General features: G+C 38.1%; 1 protein-coding gene across 12 annotated transcripts in view, besides 1 other annotated feature; it reads right to left on the bottom strand.

Annotated features, from left to right (window-relative positions):
- The window catches only part of IQCH (IQ motif containing H), a 247,019-nt gene that overhangs the window by 219,979 nt on the left and 7,602 nt on the right, over positions 1-19,438 (bottom strand). For 2 of the 12 annotated variants that reach the window (NM_001031715.3, NM_022784.3), the window contains exons 3-4: positions 18,610-18,704; positions 2,314-2,431 (exon numbers count right to left, since the gene is read on the bottom strand). The exons of 9 other annotated variants lie outside the window; for them this stretch is intronic. In NM_001031715.3, the coding sequence (NP_001026885.2) occupies positions 2,314-2,431; positions 18,610-18,704 (213 nt within the window). The remainder of the gene's footprint in view (positions 1-2,313; positions 2,432-18,609; positions 18,705-19,438) is intronic. One more of the 12 variants, NM_001322475.2, reaches the window with a different exon arrangement.
- Positions 4,231-4,391: a silencer, noted in NCBI's record as "fragment chr15:67569773-67569933 (GRCh37/hg19 assembly coordinates)". NCBI's record gives its function as "represses an EF-1alpha promoter that drives an FKBP-Casp9 reporter gene in an ReSE screen in K562 erythroleukemia cells {active_cell/tissue: K562}" and the evidence as "EXISTENCE:reporter gene assay evidence [ECO:0000049][PMID:32094911]".

Here is a 19,438-nt window from a genome sequence, read left to right as displayed (position 1 = left end):
AACATTTATGCAGAATCCTCTGTGAAGGAAATAAAAATATTTTACCCCAAAATATGTACTTTGACATATTTTGAAATAGTTGCCACAGGGCCAGCAAACAGAAGTGGTCTTGCAAAGCTGTCTTTTGTGGGGAAATTTTGCTTCTGTAGAGAATCTCCACCAATGCTGCCAAGGCCTCCCCTTTCCAGTCATTTCCTGGATCTGGGAGAGATTGAGTCTGATACCTTTAAACGACTGAAAAGAAACATTTGCCATCTATTCTCTCTGAAGGAGGCTGCATCTACACACAAGGCCATCTTTGCTAGCCAAGCTTCTTCCTTTCTCCCTCTTATAACCTGTTTTGCCACTGAACCTGATTTATAAACATAACCTGGTTTTGGCCATGCCCTGACCCCCATTATTTCTGTAACCTCAAGATGATATATAAGCTTCTGTAACTTATTAGGATGTTGGGTCTTCATACTGAAGGCTCCTGTGTATACATGTTAAATAAACTTGTATGCCTTTTCTCCTAATTAATCAATCTGCCTCATGTTAGTGATTTTGAGCAAACTTTTAGGAGGTCAAGAGCCTATGGCCCACACCCTAGGCATAATATAGTAATGAACAAACTAATACAGTTACTGCCCTCATTAAGCTTATAATCTAGTGGGAAGACAGACATTTAAAAAGTCATACAACTGGCCACGCGCGGTGGCTCATGCCTGTAATCCCAGCACTTTGGGAGGCCAAGGCGGGTGGATCAAGAGGTCGGGAGTTCAAGACCAGCCCGGCCAAGATGGTGAAACCCCATCTCTACTAAAAATATAAAAATTAGCCGGGCGTGGTGGTGGGTGCCTATAATCCCAACTACTTGGGAGGCTGAGGCAAAGAATTGCTTGAACCTGAGGGGCAGAGGTTGCAGTGAGCCGAGATTGTGCCACTGCACTCCAGCCTGGGTGACAAGAGTGAAACTCCATCTTAATAATAATAATAATAATAATAATAACACCTCCTTCTAGGATTGTTCTGAAGTTCAAACAAGTTAGTATTTTCAAAGTACTGCTAACAGTTCCTGCTACCCAAAAGAGGTGAGCTAGTATTACTTTTAAGTCAGGGCATGCTATGGACTGAATGTTTGTGCCCCGCCTCCCCCCGCCCACCAAAACCCATATGTTGAAATCCTAACCCAATGTAATGGTATTAGCAGGTGAGGTTTTTGGGAGATAATTAGCTCATGAGGGTAGAACCCTAATGAATGAGATCAATGTCCTTATAAAAAGACACACAAGAGCTTGCTGGTTTTCTCTCTGTCTCTCTCTGCCATGTGAAGAAACAAATGAAGAAAACTGTCTGCAAACTAGGAAGAAAGACCTCACCAGACACCGGATCTGCCGGCACCTTGACCTTTGAATTCCAGCCTCTAGAGCTGTAAGAAATAGAATTCTGTTGTTTAAGCCACTCAGTTTATGGTATTCTGTTACAGCAGCCTGAGCTAAGACAGGGACAAAACAGAATTGAGAGAACACTCAATGGAGGCAAAGTCAGAAACTTCTTGAGCTCTATTCTTTGCCACCTGGCTCTGTTAAAAAATGTGAAGGTATTATGTCTTGATTTATTTTCTTCTGAAGAAAGCTCTTTTGTTGTAGAAATTGACCATGCCATGAACATATCTGAAACAACTATAAAATGAAATTCTAGAAACAGACCTATACATTATGTTTTCTAACTTAGAACACAAAGCAAATTTCTTACTTTACTCTTTTAAAAAGTTTTTAACAGCTTCATTGAGATGTAATTAATATACCATAAAATTCACATTTTTTTTTTTTAGACGGAGTCTCGCTCTGTCGCCCTGGCTGGAGTGCAGTGGCACAATCTCGGCTCACTGAAAGTTCCGCCTCCCGGGTTCACGCCATTCTCCTGCCTCAGCCTCCCGAGTACCACCACCAGTACCAGGCGAGTACCAGGCGCCCACCACCACGCCCGGATAATTTTTTGTATTTTTAGTAGAGACGGGGTTTTACCATGTTAGCCAGGATGGTCTTGATCTCCTGACCTTGTGATCCACCCACCTCGGCCTCCCAAAGTGCTGGAATTACAGGCGTGAGCCACTGCACCCAGCCAAAATTCACATTTTTAAAGTATATAATTCAATGGTGTTTACTATATTCACAGAGTAGTGCAATCATCACCACTATATAATTCTAGAACATGTTCATTGTCCCCCAAAGAAACTTCATACCCATTAAAAGTCACTCCTAGTCTCTGCTCCTCCCAGCCCCTGGCAATCACTAAACTACTTTCTGTCTCTATGAATTTCTCTATACCTACCTTTGCTCTTGGAAAGACAGGCAGAGATGAACTGTGCTGTCTTTGGGGTTGCCAAAATGTACCCTCAGATTCCTGAGGGAAAATAAATGATTTCTGATCAATTACAGTTGGAAGTAACCTAAGTAAGAAGAAATGGAATTTAAAATCAAATTTGCTATTTTAAAAGCTTTTCAAATTGTAATTTTAAAACAATGCTTCCTAATTAAGCTTATATTTTATAGGAAATATTCTATTGGTAATTACAATAAATTAAACCAATCTTTATTATTTTTGCCACTGTAAAACTGCAGTTGTTTTATTAAGCATAAGAATTTCCAAGTCTGATAAAGACCATTATAGCATGAATAAAAAGCTCTATTTCTGGCTGAGTTTATATGATTAACAACTGACAGAATTATTGCACTATAAAACATTCTTGGTAAAAGAAAATACATAATGTTGTATTTTGTTTAATAAAATCAAATTACAGTATAACCAACGTTAAATATATACAAAATGATGGTCCCTAAGTGATTAATACTTATATTCTTGAAATCTCTGCTATTTTATATAGTTGTAAAGATTTAAATATCAAAGGTGGTTAAACATTTTCCTTATTAAGCAGTGGATAGTTCCATGGGAGAGCAATGTAAAAAAAATAAAATTGTAAGAATGAGTACTTGTGTGTCATGTTATGTCTTAAAATTTTTAATTTGAAAGCAAGTTCAAGATCTTTAAGATTATCAATATAATTAGGACTAACAAAACTCACCCACCAATAACTCAATACAACTCAATAACTTGATTCTATTGTGATACCCACTTTTGCAAAATTATCATTAAAAAGCAACTTACGGAGTTCTAGTTTCACTCCAACATGTAATGAGCTTGGAAGTTGTCATTCCTATTCTCACAACAAGAAAAAAGCTAAATGAAAACAACTCTTCTTATATCTATCAGAGAATTGAGATCACAGGGTAAACTGCTGTCCTGAAAACTGGAGAGAGGAGTATTATAAAGCATCACAGCTTGCAGGGAGCAGAAGCCTGAGAGCAGAAGTCAGCTGTTGGAACCTACACTGACAAGAACGCTTCAGCTCTAATTGACAAATTTCTCGAGGCTCAGTGTGGACTAGCTTGAGAGTTAAAAATTCTTGGGGGCAGGGAGGAGAATCTTAGAGGGTCCCACACTTTTGTGAGTTTTGCCTCCAAGAGCCCCAACATGTTCTCACTGTGAAGATCAGAGAATCCGCTTCTGCTTCCAGCAGGGAGAGAAGGAAATAGCTATTTTGGAATATTCCCAGAGAGTTCTGTTCTTCGTTCTGTTCTTCGTTCCGTTCTCTGTAATGAAGGTAAGCTCTCAAGAAAATGTCTAACCAAAGCCTTATCTGAGCTGGAGAAGGGCAATTAGACAACTTCAGCCCACTCTAACCTTCCTCTCTCACTTAAGGGGAGGAAATGCTGAGAAAAACTTGTCAAGGTAATAGCCCAGGGCAAAGACCCACCAAAAGACTGACACCTAATTATAGAGTATAGAATGCTTCCTTCTACACACACTTTACCACCACATTTACAGAGCCCCTGAATAACAGAAGATTATAGATGAAAGACTGCAAAGCTCAGACTCTTTTTAAGAAGGGGTTTCTAAGGAAACCCAAAGACAAAACAAGAGACAAAAGGGGTGATAAAAACAAAGATACTGGGCCAGGCGCGGTGGCTCAAGCCTGTAATCCCAGCACTTTGGGAGGCTGAGGCGGGTGGATCATGAGGTCAGGAGATCGAGACCATCCTGGCTAACACGGTGAAACCCCGTCTGTACTAAAAATACAAAAAATTAGCCAGGCGTGGTGGCATGTGCCTGTTGTTCCAGCTACTCAGGAGGCTGAAGCAGGAGAGTGGCATGAACCCGGAAGGCGGAGCTTGCAGTGAGCCGAGATTGCGCCACTGCACTCCAGCCTGGGTGACAGAGCGAGACTCCGTCTAAAAAAAAAAAAAAAAAAAAAAGATACTGGAGGAAACTCTCAGATGCCAACATTAATAGCAAACAGTAAACACAGTGTAACTCCTAGTCAGATAAACATAAACCCTCACACTGAAGGCCTATTTATCTTAAATGCTATTACCCAATGATATAATGATGGTATCTAGGCTTCGATAAAAAATGATGAGGCATGCTAAAAGGCAAGAAAAAAAACAGTCTGAAGAGACAAAGCGAATATCAGAACCAGATTCAGCTATGCCAGAGATTTTGGAATTATCAGACCAGAAATTTAAAGTAACTCTGATTAATAGGCTAAGGGCACTAATGAAAAAAGTGGACAACATGCAAGACAAGATGGGTAATGTAAGCAGAGAGATTTAAACTTTAAGAAAGAATCAAGAGAAAATGCTAGAAATAAAAAGCATTGTTTTAAGAAGTGAAGAATGTCTTTGATAGGCTTATCAATATATTGAATATGGCCAATGAAACAAAATCAGTGATCTTGAAGAAATGTCAATATAAACTCCTCAAAGTGAAACGCAAAGATGAAAAGAGAATGAACAAAACAGTACAGAATATTCAGTTATAAACAGTGTGACATACTTATAGGAATACAAGAGAAGGGACAAAGGAACCAAAGAAATATTTGAGTAATAATGGCTGAGAATTTCCCAAAATTAATGACAGACACCAAGCTACAGATTCAGGAATTTCAGAGAACACTGACCAGAATAAATGCAAAAAACAAAACAAAACCCTACACCTATACATATCATATTTAAACTATGAAAAACAAAAGACAGAGAAAATCTTGCAAGAAGCCAGGGAGAAAAAAAATTACCTTACCTATTGATAATAATTATATTGAACTTTTTTTTTCAGAAACTATGCAAGTAAGAAGACAATGAATTGAAATATTTAAAATGTGGAAAGAAAAAACCCACTAACCTGCAAAAATTATCCTTCAAAAGTGAAGAGGAAATAAAGATGTTTTGAGACAAATAACAACTAAGAGAATTTGTTGCCTGAGATCTGTCTTGCAAGAACCATTAAAGGAAATTCTTTGGAGGGAAGGAAAATTATATATGTTTGCTATGGGATATATGAGGCAAAAAGAAAACCCAGGAAACTCACCACCATGCTGTTCCTTGTGTCTCAAGGCCCTCAGCTGGTCTGCCTTCTTCTCTCCGTCTTTCAGAGTCTTTTAAAGTTTGTTTTAAATATAATGTCCAAAGTTTTTAGTTGTACTTAGCAGGAGGCATAAAAGACAGTATGTCACCACCTTCCCAGAAGTGAAAGTATCTTGGTGTATTTCTTAAATCCTTTTACTTCTATGGATGGTGTGTTTAGAAGTGAATTTAGATATTGATAATTGAATTGAGATATAATTTTGTACACTGCTTTTCTCCCCCTCAGCATATGCTTGAGAAATTTTCCATGTCAGTAAAATTTCTTCAATATCAGTTTTAATAGCTATATAACATACATATAGATGTGTTAAAATGAATTTAATAATTCTTTTACTGTTGATACTTAAGGTATATCCAAAGTTATTGCTATTAAATACAATGCTAAAATGAACATACTTATACAGACATTAATGTATATCTCTCTTTAGTTCCTAAGATAATTCTTAGAGCTACAATTACTAAATTTAAACATATTTATTTATTTGAAACAAGATCTCACTCTGTCACTCAGGCTGGAGTGCAGTGGCACAATCACGGCTCACTGCAGCCTCAATATCCTAGGCTTAGGTGATTCTCCTGCCTCAGCCTCCAGAGTAGCTGGGACTACAGGCACATGCCACCACACTCAGCAAATTTAAAAATTTTTTTTGTAGAGACAGGGTTTCACTATGTTGCCCAGGCTGGTCTCAAACACCTGGACTCAAGTGAGCCTCCCATCTCAGCCTCCCAAAGTGCTGAGATTACAGGCATGAGCCACCACATTTGGCCAAAAATAATAATTTAAATTTTTTCATATATGTTGAAAAATTGCTTTTAAGAACTTCATGCTGTCTTCCAGTTCCAAAATGCCAGCATAGAAGCAAGCTGGCTTCATGCTCCCATAACAGAAAACTAAAAACAAACATACATTACTGAGATTATTACCAGCAATAACCCAGAACCCAAAGATGAGGATGAGACAGTTCCCAGGTCATGGAGAAGGGAAAAAACTCCAAGCAGATGGAAAGGAAATCAGATTTCTATATCCGTGACTCCTCTCTCCACAATCTGCCTTGCACCAAGCATGTGAAAATATTTCTCCCAACTCATGGTTTCTTCACTAGAATTCTAAAGTGAGATCAAGGTTGACAACCAGCTTCCCTATCACCTTGGGTTCCTGACAAAAGACCTGTCCCTACCTCAACCCATGGAAAGTATCAGGAGTACTTGAAGGGACAAATATCCCTGAGGACAGCCAGAGACAAAGTAGGGAGGTGAGACAACCATCCCAACCCTAGATATTCTGCTCTGTAACTAGGCCAAAGGAGACACCAAATCAGAGTGGCAGTACCATGCTGTAGAAAGTATGTTCCACAGGTCCCCTTGGCACAAACCCTTGGCCAGCTGACCCACATTGCCAGAATATCCCCTTTGGGACCTCTTCCATTTGGGACAGGCAGCATTCTGATCCTTTATTAGATTTGACACAAATCCGGGCTTAAGTTGCCATCTAGTGCCAAAAAGGAGACAGCAACCTAGTGGGGGAAAAAAAGATATTCAAAAATTACAAAGAAAAAAGCAAGCATATCCATTAAAAACCAAAACAAGCCAGAGAGAGAAGACTGGAATAAATAACTAATCCTTTAATGCAAAGAAACAGACATACAGGCACATCAACAGCAAACAAGGAACCATGACTTCCCCAAAATGAACAAAGCAAGGAACCAGTGACTGACCTTAGTGAGATGTTGATATGCGAGATCTCTGACCAAGAACAAAATAGCAATTATAAGGAAACTCAGTGATCACCAAGATAACACAGAAAATCAATTAAGAAATTTATCAAAGAAATTTAACAAAGAGATTGAAATAATAAAAATAAAACCAAACAGAAATGTTGAAATACATTTGCTGAACTAAAAAATTCACTAGAGGCTCTCAACAGCAGAATGGTTAAAGCAGAAGAAAGAATCAGTGAGCTTCAGGACAGGCTATTTGAGAACACACAGTCAGAGAAGAAAAATATAAAAAGGAATGAAGATCACCTACAAGATATAGAAAATTCTCTCAGAAGACCAAATCTAAAAATTATTGATGTTCAAGAGAGAGTTGAAGAAGAGTAAGGGGTAGAAAGCTTATTTAAAGAAACAATAACAGAAAACTTTTGAAAACTTTAGAAAGACAGAAATATCCAGGTACAGGAAGGGCAGAGAACACCAAATAGATTCAACCCAAATAAGACCATCCCAACATATACTAATCAAACTCTCAAAGGTCAAGGACAAAGAGAAGATCCTGAAAACAGCAAGAGAGAAGAAGCAAATAGCACATAAAGGAGCTCTAATTAATCTGGCAAACGACTTCTCAATGGAAACGATATAAGCCAAGAGAGAATGTGAAAACATTTTCAAAGTGCTAAAAGAAAAAAGCTGCCTTCGAAGAATACTGTATCCATCAGAGGTATCCTTCAAATATGCTAAGATAAAGTCTTTCCCAGACGGACAAAAGCTGAGTGAATTCACCACCACCAGACCCATGTTACATCAAATGCTAATGGGAGTTATTCAGTCTGAAAGAAAAAAGTCACTAATGTGCAAAGAGAAAACATTGGAAGGTAAAAAAACTCACTGGTAAAATTAAGTACATAAACAACCTCAGAATACACTAATACTCTGTGGTGTAACACCTACTCAAACTCAAGTATGAAGCCTATAATATAAATCTATTAAAAACAGTAATAGCTACAGCAACCTGTTAAAAGATAGGCAATATAAAACTATGTAAGGTGAGACCAAAAAAAGTCAAAATGTATGGGGAATGGACTTAAAGTGTAGAGTTTTTTTAAAGTTTTTTCTTTGTTTCTATTATTTTTTAGTGATCTAAGATAACATTATCTCTTTAAAATAACTTATTATATCTAGAAGATGTTTTTATAAGCTTCATGGGAACCACAATGCAAAAAACTATAACAGATACATTAGAAATAAAAAGCAATGGGCTGGGCATGGTGGCTCAGGCCAGGCATGGTGGCTCGTGCCTATAATCTCAGCACTTTGGGAGGCTGAGGCAGGCAAATCACTTGAGGTCAGGAGTTTGAGACCAGCCTGGCAACATGGTGAAACCCTGTCTCTACTAAAAATACAAAAATTAGCCAGGCATGGTGGCAGGCGCCTGTAATCCCAGCCACTCAGCAGGCTGAGGTAGGAGAATTGCCTGAACCTGGGAGGCAGAGGTTGCAGTGAGCCGAGATTGCAACACTGCACTCCAGCCTGGGCGACAGAGAGAGACCCTGTCTCCAAAAAATAAATTAATTAATTAAAAATAAATAAAAAAGCAATGAATTAAAACATACTACCAGAGAAAAATAATTTAACCACAATGAAAGACAGTAAGAAAGGAAGAGAGAATTTACAAAACAACCAGAAAACAAGCAATAAAAATGGTAAGTCTTTACTCAGCAATAATAAGACTGAATGTAAATGGATTTAGTTCTCCAATTAAAAAACACAGTGTGGCTGAATGGATAAAAGAAACAAGACCCAACTATATGCTGCCTGCAAGAAACCCACCTCAGCTATAAAGACACAGACTGAAAGTAAAGACATGGAGTTGATATTCTATGCAACTGGAAACTCAAAAAGAGGAGTAATTATACATAGATAAAATGGACTACAAGTCAAAGACTGTAAAAAGAGTCAAAGAAGGTCATTATATCATTAAAGGAGTCAATTCAGCAAGTAGATAGAACAAGTGTAAGTGTCTATGCACGCAACATTGGAGCACCCAAGTATATAAGGCAAACATTGTAACAGAGCCAAAAGAGAGAGATAGATTGCAACACAATAATAGTAAGGGACTTTAGCACCCCACTTTCAGTAAGGGACAGATCATCCAGTCAGAAAATCAGCAATAACTTTCAGGTTAAACTACATACTAGACCAGACAGGTCTAACTGACATTTAAAGGACATTTCACCCAACTGCTATAGAATACACATTCTTTTTTATCAGCACATGGAACGTTCTCCAGAATAGAGAACATTCTTAGAAATCATGTCTTAGGCCACAAAACACATCTCAACAAATTTTAAAAAGTAGAAACCATATTAAGTATTTTTTTCTAACTACAATGAGATAAAACTAGAAATCAATAACAAGAGGAACCTTGGAAACTACAGAAACACATGGAAACTAAACAATATGCTTCTGAATGACAGTCAATAAAGAAATTAAAAAGGAAATTTAAATTTCTTGAAACAAATGAAAATGGAAATACAACATACCAAAATTATGGGGCAGTGAAAAAGCAGTCCTAAGAGGAAAGTTTACAACAATAAATGCCTATATCAAAAAGTATAAAAACTTCAAATACACAACCTAATGATGCACCTCCAGGAATTAGAAAAGCAAGAACACACCAAACCCCAAATTAATAAAAGGTAAAAAATAATAAAGACTAGAGCAGAAATAAATGAAATTGAGACAAAAACATACAGAAGATCAACAAAATTAAAAGGTGGTTTTTTGAAAAGATAAAGACAATCAACAAACCTTTAGCTAGACTAAGAAAAAAAGAGATAAAACCCAAATAAATAAAATCAGAAACAAAAAAGGAGACATAACAATTGAGACCACAGAAATACAAAGAATTATCACAGACTATTATGAACAACTATATCCCAACAATTTACAATTTGGAAAATCTAGAAGGAACAGATAAATTCCTGGACACTTACAACCTACCAAGATTGAACCATAAAGAAATAGAAAGCCTCAACAAACCAATAAGGAGTAAAGAGATCAAAGCCATGACAAAAAGTTTCCTATCTAAGAAAAACCAATGATTTGATGGCTTCACTGCTAATTTCTACCTATCAACCATTTAAAGAATAACTAACACCAATTCTACTCAAACTCTTCAAAAAAAATGAAGAGAAGGAAATTTCAAACTCATTGTATGAGGCCAGCATTATGCTGATACCAAAACCAGATGAGGATACAACAACAACAAAAAAGAAAACTATAGGCCAATACCACTCATAAATATAGATGCAAAAATCTTCAACGAAATCCTAGCAAACCAAATTCAACAATACATTTAAAAGATCATTCACCATAGGCTGGGCGTGGTGGCTCACACCTGTAATCTCAGCACTTTGGGAGGCCAAGCTGGGCGGATCACAACGTCAGGAGTTCGAGACCAGCCTGCCCAGCATGGTGAAACCCTGTCTCTACTAAAAATACAAAAAATTAGCCGGGCACGGTGGTGTGTGCCTGTAGTCCCAGCTACTTGGGAGGCTGAGGCAGGAGAATTGCTTGAATCCAGAAGGTGGAGGTTGCAGGGAGCCAAGATTGCACGACTGCACTCCAGCCTGGGCAACAGAGCGAGACTTCAAGTGAGATTCATCTCAGGGATACAAGGATGATATAACACAGTCAAATCAATCAATGTGATACATCACTTTAACAGAATCAAGAACAAAAAACCATATGATCATTCCAATAGATGCTAAAAGGCATCTGATAAAATTCAGCATCCCTTGTCTTATTCTGTTTGTGTTGCTATAAAGGAATGCCTGAAGCTGGGTAATTTTTTTAAAAACAGATTTATTTGGCTCATGGTTCTGCAGACTGTAAAAGAAACATAGTGCTAGCATCTGCTTCTGGTCAGGGCTTCAAGCTACTTCCATTCATGGTAGAAGGTAAGGGGAGCCAGGACATAGAGATCACATGGTGAGAGAAGCAGCAAGAGAGAGGAAGAGGTGCCTGTCTCTTTTCAACCAGTTCCCATGGAGACTAAGAGTAGAATTCACTCACTCCCATGAGAATGGCACCAATCCATTCATGAGAGATCCACCCCCACAACCCAAACACCTTCCATCAGGTTCCACCTCTAACATTGGGGATCAACTTTCAACATGGGACTTGGTGGAGCCATACAAACCACAGTATCCCTTCATGATAAAAAACCTTCAGCAAACTGGATATAGAAGGAACATACCTGAAAATAATAAATGCCATATATGACAAACCCATAGCCAACATCATACTAAACAGGGAGAAACTGGATGCCTTTCCTCTAGGATCTGGAATAAGACAAGGATGCCCACTTTCACAACGTTTATTCCGTATAATACTGGAAATCCTGGCCAGAGCAATTAGGCAAGAGAAAGAAATAAAGGCATCCAAATTGGAAAGGAAGAAGTCAAATTAGCTTTGTTCATAGACAACATGATCTTATATTCAGAAAAACCTAAAGACACCACCAAAAACTGTTAGAACTGATTAATGAATTCAGCAAAGTATACCCACTATGGAAAACAGTATGGAGGTGCCTCAAAAAACTAAAAATAGAACTACCATAAGACCCAGCCATCCCACTACTGGGTATATATCCAAAAGAAAGGAAACCAGTATATTGAAGAGAGATTTCCAGTCCCATGTTTACTGCAACATTATACACAATGAACAAAACTTGGAATCAACCTAAGTGCCCATCAATGGATGAATGGATAAAGAAAATGTGGTATATATACACAATGGAATATTATTTAACCATAAAAAACAAAGGAATCCTGTCATTCACAGCAACATGGATGGAACTAGAGGTTATTATGTTGAGTGAAATAAGTACAGAAAGACAAATATATCTCACGTTCTCACATGTGGGAGCTAAAAAAAAAAAAGTGGATCTCATGAATATGGAGAGTAGATTGGTGGTTACCAGAGGCAAGGAGGAGAGGGATGAGGGGTGGTTGAAGAGAGGTTGATTAATGGGTTTAATATACAGTTAGAGAGAAGAAATAAAACCTAGGTTTTACAGATCAATAGGGTGACTATAGTTAACACTACTCTACTGTACATTTCAAAATAGCTAGAAGATAATTTGCATGTTTCTAGCTTAAAGAAAAAATAAGTATTTAAGGTAATGGAAAATCCAATTACCTTGATTTGATCTTTACACATTAGAAGAAGGTATCAAATTATCCCATGTACCTTGAAAATATATACAAGTATTATGTATCAATGAAATAATAAGCTGAATGAAGAAAACTTTGTGCTAATTTACACTTCTACCAGCAGGATAAAAGTATGCCCATTTTGCTGTACCTTCATTAGCACTGAGTATTATAGTGGTTTAATTTGTTTTCCTTATTTTTAAAGAAAAAATAGTAATATATTGTTTGATTTGCATTTCTCTGGTTTATCTGTAAGATGAGATATTTTTGTTTCATTTGTGTTTCATCAGTTACCAGTGGCATTAAACACTTTCCACATGCTTACTGGTTACTTGCATTTCCATCTCTGTGAGTGGTCTGTTGATGCCCTTCTGTCTATATCAAGTGTTGGTTTTTTTTTTTTTAGCAAGTGTACTTTGTATTTAAGAATCTTAGCAATTTTTGTGTCATATCTGTTGCAAATGTTTTTCCAGTTTGTTATGTTTTATTTTATAATTCTGTTTTAAAAGTTTGTTTTTTTGTTTTAAAAAGTTTCAAACCCAAAGAAAAATGGAAAGAACAGTGAGCATGCGAATGCCCCTCACATAGATTACCACGTGTTAACATCTTGTTATGCATGCTTTCTCCCTCTCTCCTCTCTCCTCTCTCTCTGTGACTAGAATGTAGTCATATCGTATATAACTGCACTGGAACAGCCCAGAATAGATAGGATCCATGGTGTTTCAATAATTGAATGACAATGCACCTTCTAATCTACACTCACCATTGAACAAAAAACCTCTTCCCCTCACTTTTTCTCACTATTACTTGCTTTGTTCTTGTTTCTTTTCTTTTCTTTTCCTAAATAGTAGCACAACAGAGCGAACATAAAATGAAGATTTCTGTGCAGTTCTGATAGTGCTGGTACAGATGGCAGTCACCCTCCCAGTGTCAATAAGCAAATCATGGTCATTAAGAACAGTGTGAGCAGATATCACAAGCAATAAAATTTGTGAAAGCCAGCAATGGTAAGAGGAGGAACTATCCTTTGACATAAAAGAAAAATCATTGCCAAAGTGTGGATAACAGTGAAACCTATTTTGAAAACAATACAAAAGCACTTTGAGCTCTTTTGACAACGTCCTTATCGTTGTTTTAAGATTACTGCTAGGAGAATCTTGCATTTGCTGGCATTCGTTATCACCACTTTGTGTACCTACTGGTTTGTCTCTACCAGACAAAACGACCAGATTTTCCCTTAAGCAATGCTGGCTAAAAAGGAAAATTATCTTTTGTGACAATTAGGCTTTCTGATTTTCAGGCAGTTATGGAGCAAAAGAGTGCTAGGTTGTAGATATCTGATTAGGACTTGAGCCTCATCAGTGATTATGCATGTGATCTAGGACTGGTTTACATAACCTCTCTGAGCCTCAGTTTCCTCATCTTTAAAGGGAAAGAGTAAACATTTACCTCGTAAGTTTAAAGAAAGTCCTTTGCAAACTGTCAAGGGTGTTATGAAAATATTAATGATGATGATGAAGATCTTGATAAGGATGACAATGAAAATGATCATTATTGCATATCTGTTCTAAAATCTTTTTTAAAGGTGTGACCAGGGATAGTATTCATTTGGAATTAACTCTATTTCCTGGGTTTCCATAGATAAAGTGAAGCCCCATATCTAAACAATGTTGATTCTCAGTTACTCATAGGAACTGTGCTCTGCTGTCAAAGGAACAAACAGAGATCTGCAGTCATTATATGCCTCCCCTCTCAGAAGGAGTTGCTGCCCTGGGACTTTTGGCCTCTGATACTCAATCAGCCTCACAGTTTGAGCAGGCATTGGCAGTTCCTGCTAGCCTGACTGCCGGGTTCCAGTCCTGGCTCAATCCCAGTGCAAGAGGCACTCCAATCGTTCATAGCAACCGGGTAGTAGAATTTCCAGGACCAAGCTCTCAATCATACAGAGAAAGGCCCTCTACATGTCCAAAAATATATTGGTTCCAGGCAGTCATGCTCATCCCAGAGATTCCAAGGACAAATCATCTGCATTAGAAATACCAAGAATGTTTGCTAAAATGCAGATGCTAGGATGCCCCCCTGAGAGCCAGTGAAAGAAAACTGCAAATAAAAGTTTGAGAACCATCACTCTAGACCTGTTGTCTCTCAAATAGAGTACCCACATCCCAGGTGACACATAAGATGATGCCATTGGTCATGTGAGGAAAGTATAAGAACTTCTGTTTATATTAAAAAAGAAATAAATAAGAAATTACTCTGTACTACCATTCAATATTCAGCCTGTCACTCGATCCCTCATGTGGTAACGTCCCTTGCAGCTTTGGAGGCAACCTGAGAGTGGAGGCTCCAAACCACAAAACAGTGGAACAGCACTGGTGCGTCTGCTCTCAGCGCATTAGAATGGACTGCAGTTTACTCATGCAGTGGGTTTATGAATTGTGTCATTTAATTTCAAGTGTGCTAAGACTGAAAAAACGTACGTGTCTTAAGGCTTTCTGCAAAAAGCACACTGTATTTTCAAGATAATAAGCATCCATGAACAAGAAAATGAGAGTTGACATTTTTACTCTTAGCATGAGCTTTTTTTTCACCCATATTAGAAAGTAAAAATGATGATGATCCAATCCAACTTAAGAAAAGTCAGCCAAAAAAATCCCAAAACTTAAAAATTATCTAGAAGACTAACTGAAATTATGGACTTATACCTATCATCAATGCTGAACCTCACCTAAGTATAGAGTATGATGTCTTTTTTATTTATTTATTTTTTTAGACGGAGTCTCGCTCTGTCGCCCAGGCTGGAGTGCAGTGGCACAATCTCGGCTCACTGCAAGCTCTGCCTCCCGGGTTCACGCCATTCTCCTGCCTCAGCCTCCTGAGTAGCTGGGACTACAGGCGCCTGCCACCACGCCTGGCTAATTTTTTTTGTATTTTAATAGAGACGGGGTTTCACTGTGTTACCCAGGATGGTCTTGATCTCCTGACCTCGTGATCCGCCCGCCTTGGCCTCCCAAAATGCTGGGATTACAGGTGTGAGTCACCGCACCCAGCGGAGTATGATGTCTTGAGATATTAATTACAGCCAGTATAAAGCCATCATAATTAACAAGATTAAGCAACCAGAACATTATAGTTAATGAACACTGTTAGCAAGAACTAAAAGGTTTGTGCTATTCATACAATTTTAAAAATTTTTAAAAATACTTATTTTATCTTTATCTTACTAAAAATTTATATGTTGGTACATTTTATAATGTATTCACTATATATAATAAAAATATATAATTTATAAATAATTATACACATATTATGAATATATGCCCAAATCCTTTGACCAATGGCTATGTCAATAAAAGGCCAGGTCCTGCTTCTGTCCCAATTCAAAACTTAAGGAAAGTTAAGTCTCCTCTTTGACCCCCTGATCAAGATTGTGATTAAGCAGCCCACTCTTCAGTGAGTTGTGCCATTGGTAAATGAAAAACACCTTCCTACTTGGATATTCTAAGGACTTTGTTAAGGAACCTTAGAAGAAAAATGCAATGAATTGTCCCATCTCCTCCTTCTAGGCATGAGAACTTGAAGAAATTCTGGGCTCTGTAACCTGCTTTGGATATAATCTCCTAGCAGTCCATGCCAGACTCTGAAGCCAAGTCTATTCATGACAGCGTCTTGGGGCAAGTGCAGAACCAGGTATGATTGGGAGCAGAGAAAATGTCAGTCACGGGCCATAGTCTCCCATCTCTGGGATTCTCTTGTTTCTATATATTCCCATCTACTGAGTCACACGCTGTGACTTTCATTTTGACTCTCAGGACCTGCTTGTTTACTTTGAAGACCCAGTTTGGATTTTTCTCCAGTTTTTTCGTTTAACCTTGTCCCATCTCATTTCATTTCTGATGGCATGCCACTTTAGCCCTACACATTCACAGCTAGGACTGAGAGATGCTCATGCCACTCCTCCAGGTTTATAGGGCCCATACAAACTTGACAGGCTCCCCATCTTCCTGGTAAGAAGGCCAATGATTATACTACTGTACTGAATAGGAAAGATATGATCCAAGTACCACTTCTGGGAACTAACTCCGTGCCCCAGTCAATGTCTTCCTTCACTCTTCCAGACCTTAGTAAGGAGCAAAGGCACTCCTTGGCAAAAGAGAACTGTGTAAGAAAAGATTTCTGCCAGATACTTTCTGTTTTGTTCTCTGTAGCTGCAATTGCTACCTAGGTAGCTCTTTTCAGCTATCATAACCTGAAAATCTACAGTCCAGACTCCTGGTTCTCTGTCAAGATGAAAGGATAAAGAGGAAGACAGAGACAGTAGAACTTGAGTATTGGATTCTTTCATTAGAATTGGTGACAGCTCTTCTCCTGTTTGCTTTTCCCCACCCCTTCCATTCTGAGGCTTTCTTACTTGCTGCTTGTATGCTTGATCCTTTGATGACACACCTTCTCTATCTGCTATAGGCCTCTTGGCTGCCAACTATATAGGCACTGAACTTTGCCTTGGTAGGCTCTCTTGTATATATATATACATATGGTAGGGGAGGGAGAGAGAAAGGGAGAGAAGGAGGAGGGAGAGAGAGAGAGAGCGAGTGAGCTAACATAGCTGGATCATGAAGATAAATAGAGGAGTACAGTGGTATTTGGCCTCCTAGATGGCCCCCAATGATCCCCACCCCCTGGTATTCATGCCCTTGTATAATCCCTTCTCTTTGAATGTGGGCTAAACCTACTGGCTCACTTCTAACAACAGAACAGAGTAGATGTGATACCAGTTCTGAGATTAGGTTACAAAATGACTGTGGCTTCCATCTAGGGCACTCTTTTCCACTCTCTGGATCTCTTTTGGGTCACCAGCTGCCATGCTGTAGAAATACTCAGGCAGCTTAAGAGAGACCCACATAGTGAGGAACAAAGGCCTGCCAGTAACTATATGAGTGAGCTTGGAAGCAGATCTTTCCCTGTCCTTCCACCCATTGTCAAGTTTTCAGATGAGATTGCCCCAGTCAATACTTATATTGCAGCCTGTGAGAGACCCTGAGGCAGATGCACTTAGCTCACCTGTGCCCAGATTCCTGACCCATAAAAACTGTAAGTATTTGTTGTTCTAAACTACTACATGAGTGATTTCTTAAACAACAGATAACTAATACAAGTGCCTTGCAGGCAGTAGGGATGAAACTGTGTTGAATACAAAGATGACAGATGTTTATGTCTGCAAGGAGGTCCAGGTAACAATAGGAAGACCAGGAAAGGGCTGCCTCTACCAAAGGATGATGGATGCCTGTGGCACTGCCTTCATGTAGGGAAAGGGAGACAGGTCCAATGTACACCCAAAGCTCTGCTCCCTAGTACTGACTTGGCTATGTCTACAGCTTTCCTTGACTTGTGCACTGTTTATGAAACTTTACTTCACTGCCTAATATTTTTCATTTATGCTGGGTGCATATATAAAACACAAATAAGGGCTACAGGATTTTTAAGTTTAGTACAAAAGCTTAATCTACACTCATTCAAATTCAGGAGGCCTGTGTGTAAAAAGTCCAAAGATAAGGCAAGGTCACTTATTTTTAACTCAATTCTAATTTTAATAAATCATCTCTTAGGATGCACATAATAGATATTTCAAGCAAGTTTTATTTTTGTTTTGTTTACCCTGGATACCAAAATTATCTGTATAATCAAGCACATAAGACATTCTAAAAACCATAAAGTACCAGGTGATCTAAAAGTGTGAAAACTGATTTGCATTAAAATGTTTCCTTTAAAAGTTAAATTTTAGATACCTTTCACTATAAAATAACAACAACAAAGAGTAACAGCAAAGCCCAGGACATTGAAATAATTATTATGGTGTCAAGCATTAGAACTCAATAGAAATAATCTATAATCACTTCATTGAAGTCCAAATTCTACCATTAACTTATTTTTTTTTAATCTGCATAAACTTGAGGGGTACAAGTACAATTCTGTTCCATGTATCTACTGTTGATGGTGTAGTCTTGGTTTTAATGTATCCCTCACCTGAACAATGTTCACTGTACTTGATCTACCATTAACTTCTTATGCAAAATCTCTACTAGAATTAATAGAAAGGATGTTAAGAAAGCCAAGAAAATGTTGCCTATATTTTATAGTCATCTCACTTGAGTGAGAAAAGTTATTTCTCAATTTTATTTACTTTGGGCTCTAAATGGCTATTTTACTTACCATTTGGAAGCCTGGGGAGTATATAAGCTCTCATCATTAACAGAAGTCGTTAATACATTCTGGTTTACAACATTTAAATACTTCTCAATGTGAATCTGTTACAGAAATGTCAAAGTTTAGGCAATTATTGTGGACTTAAGATACTCAGCTAATTTACTTCATTAGGTTAATACTCTGAATCCTGTAATTAAGCCAAAACCACAACATGCTATGTATTATTACGTGCCTAAGGTATCATTAGGCATCTCAAGGCCAAATTACTTCAACCATCCCAGCATAATAAACTGAGACTCAAAGCTTGAGTGACCTGTGGTACACTCTTTTTTGTTTTTTTTTTAGTAGGGTCTTGCTCTGTTGCCCAGGCTGAAGGGCAGTGGAGTGATGTCTCACTGCAGCCTCAGCCTCCAAGGCTTAAGCAATCCTTCCACCTCAGCCTCCTGAGCAGCTGGGACCACAGGCACATGCCACCACACCTGGCTAATTTTTTTATTTTTTGTAAAAAGACAGGGTTTCCCTATATTGCCCAGCCTGTATGGCACTCTTTACAAATAAAATTGTGCACAATAGTCAATGCATTTTTAGCCAGGTAAATCTACTAGGCAATACAGACATTGAGTAATGTCTTTTTTTTACAGGGACTTCAAGCAAGCATCCAAAGAAAGCATTTGGTCTTTAGGAAACATTATTTAAATGAGCCAACCCAAAGACTCCAGCTGGGTCCATCCCTCTCACCATTAGGTAATATGACAATGATGTGCTACAAAATATACCACATTTCTCACAGCCTTGGGAGCTGAGAGATGAAGCAGATAACATAGTAGATTAAAAG

Source organism: Homo sapiens, chromosome 15 (genome assembly GCF_000001405.40).
Source record: "Homo sapiens chromosome 15, GRCh38.p14 Primary Assembly".
Lineage (NCBI taxonomy): Eukaryota > Metazoa > Chordata > Mammalia > Primates > Hominidae > Homo > Homo sapiens.
This window is presented reverse-complemented; position numbering and strand designations above follow the sequence as displayed.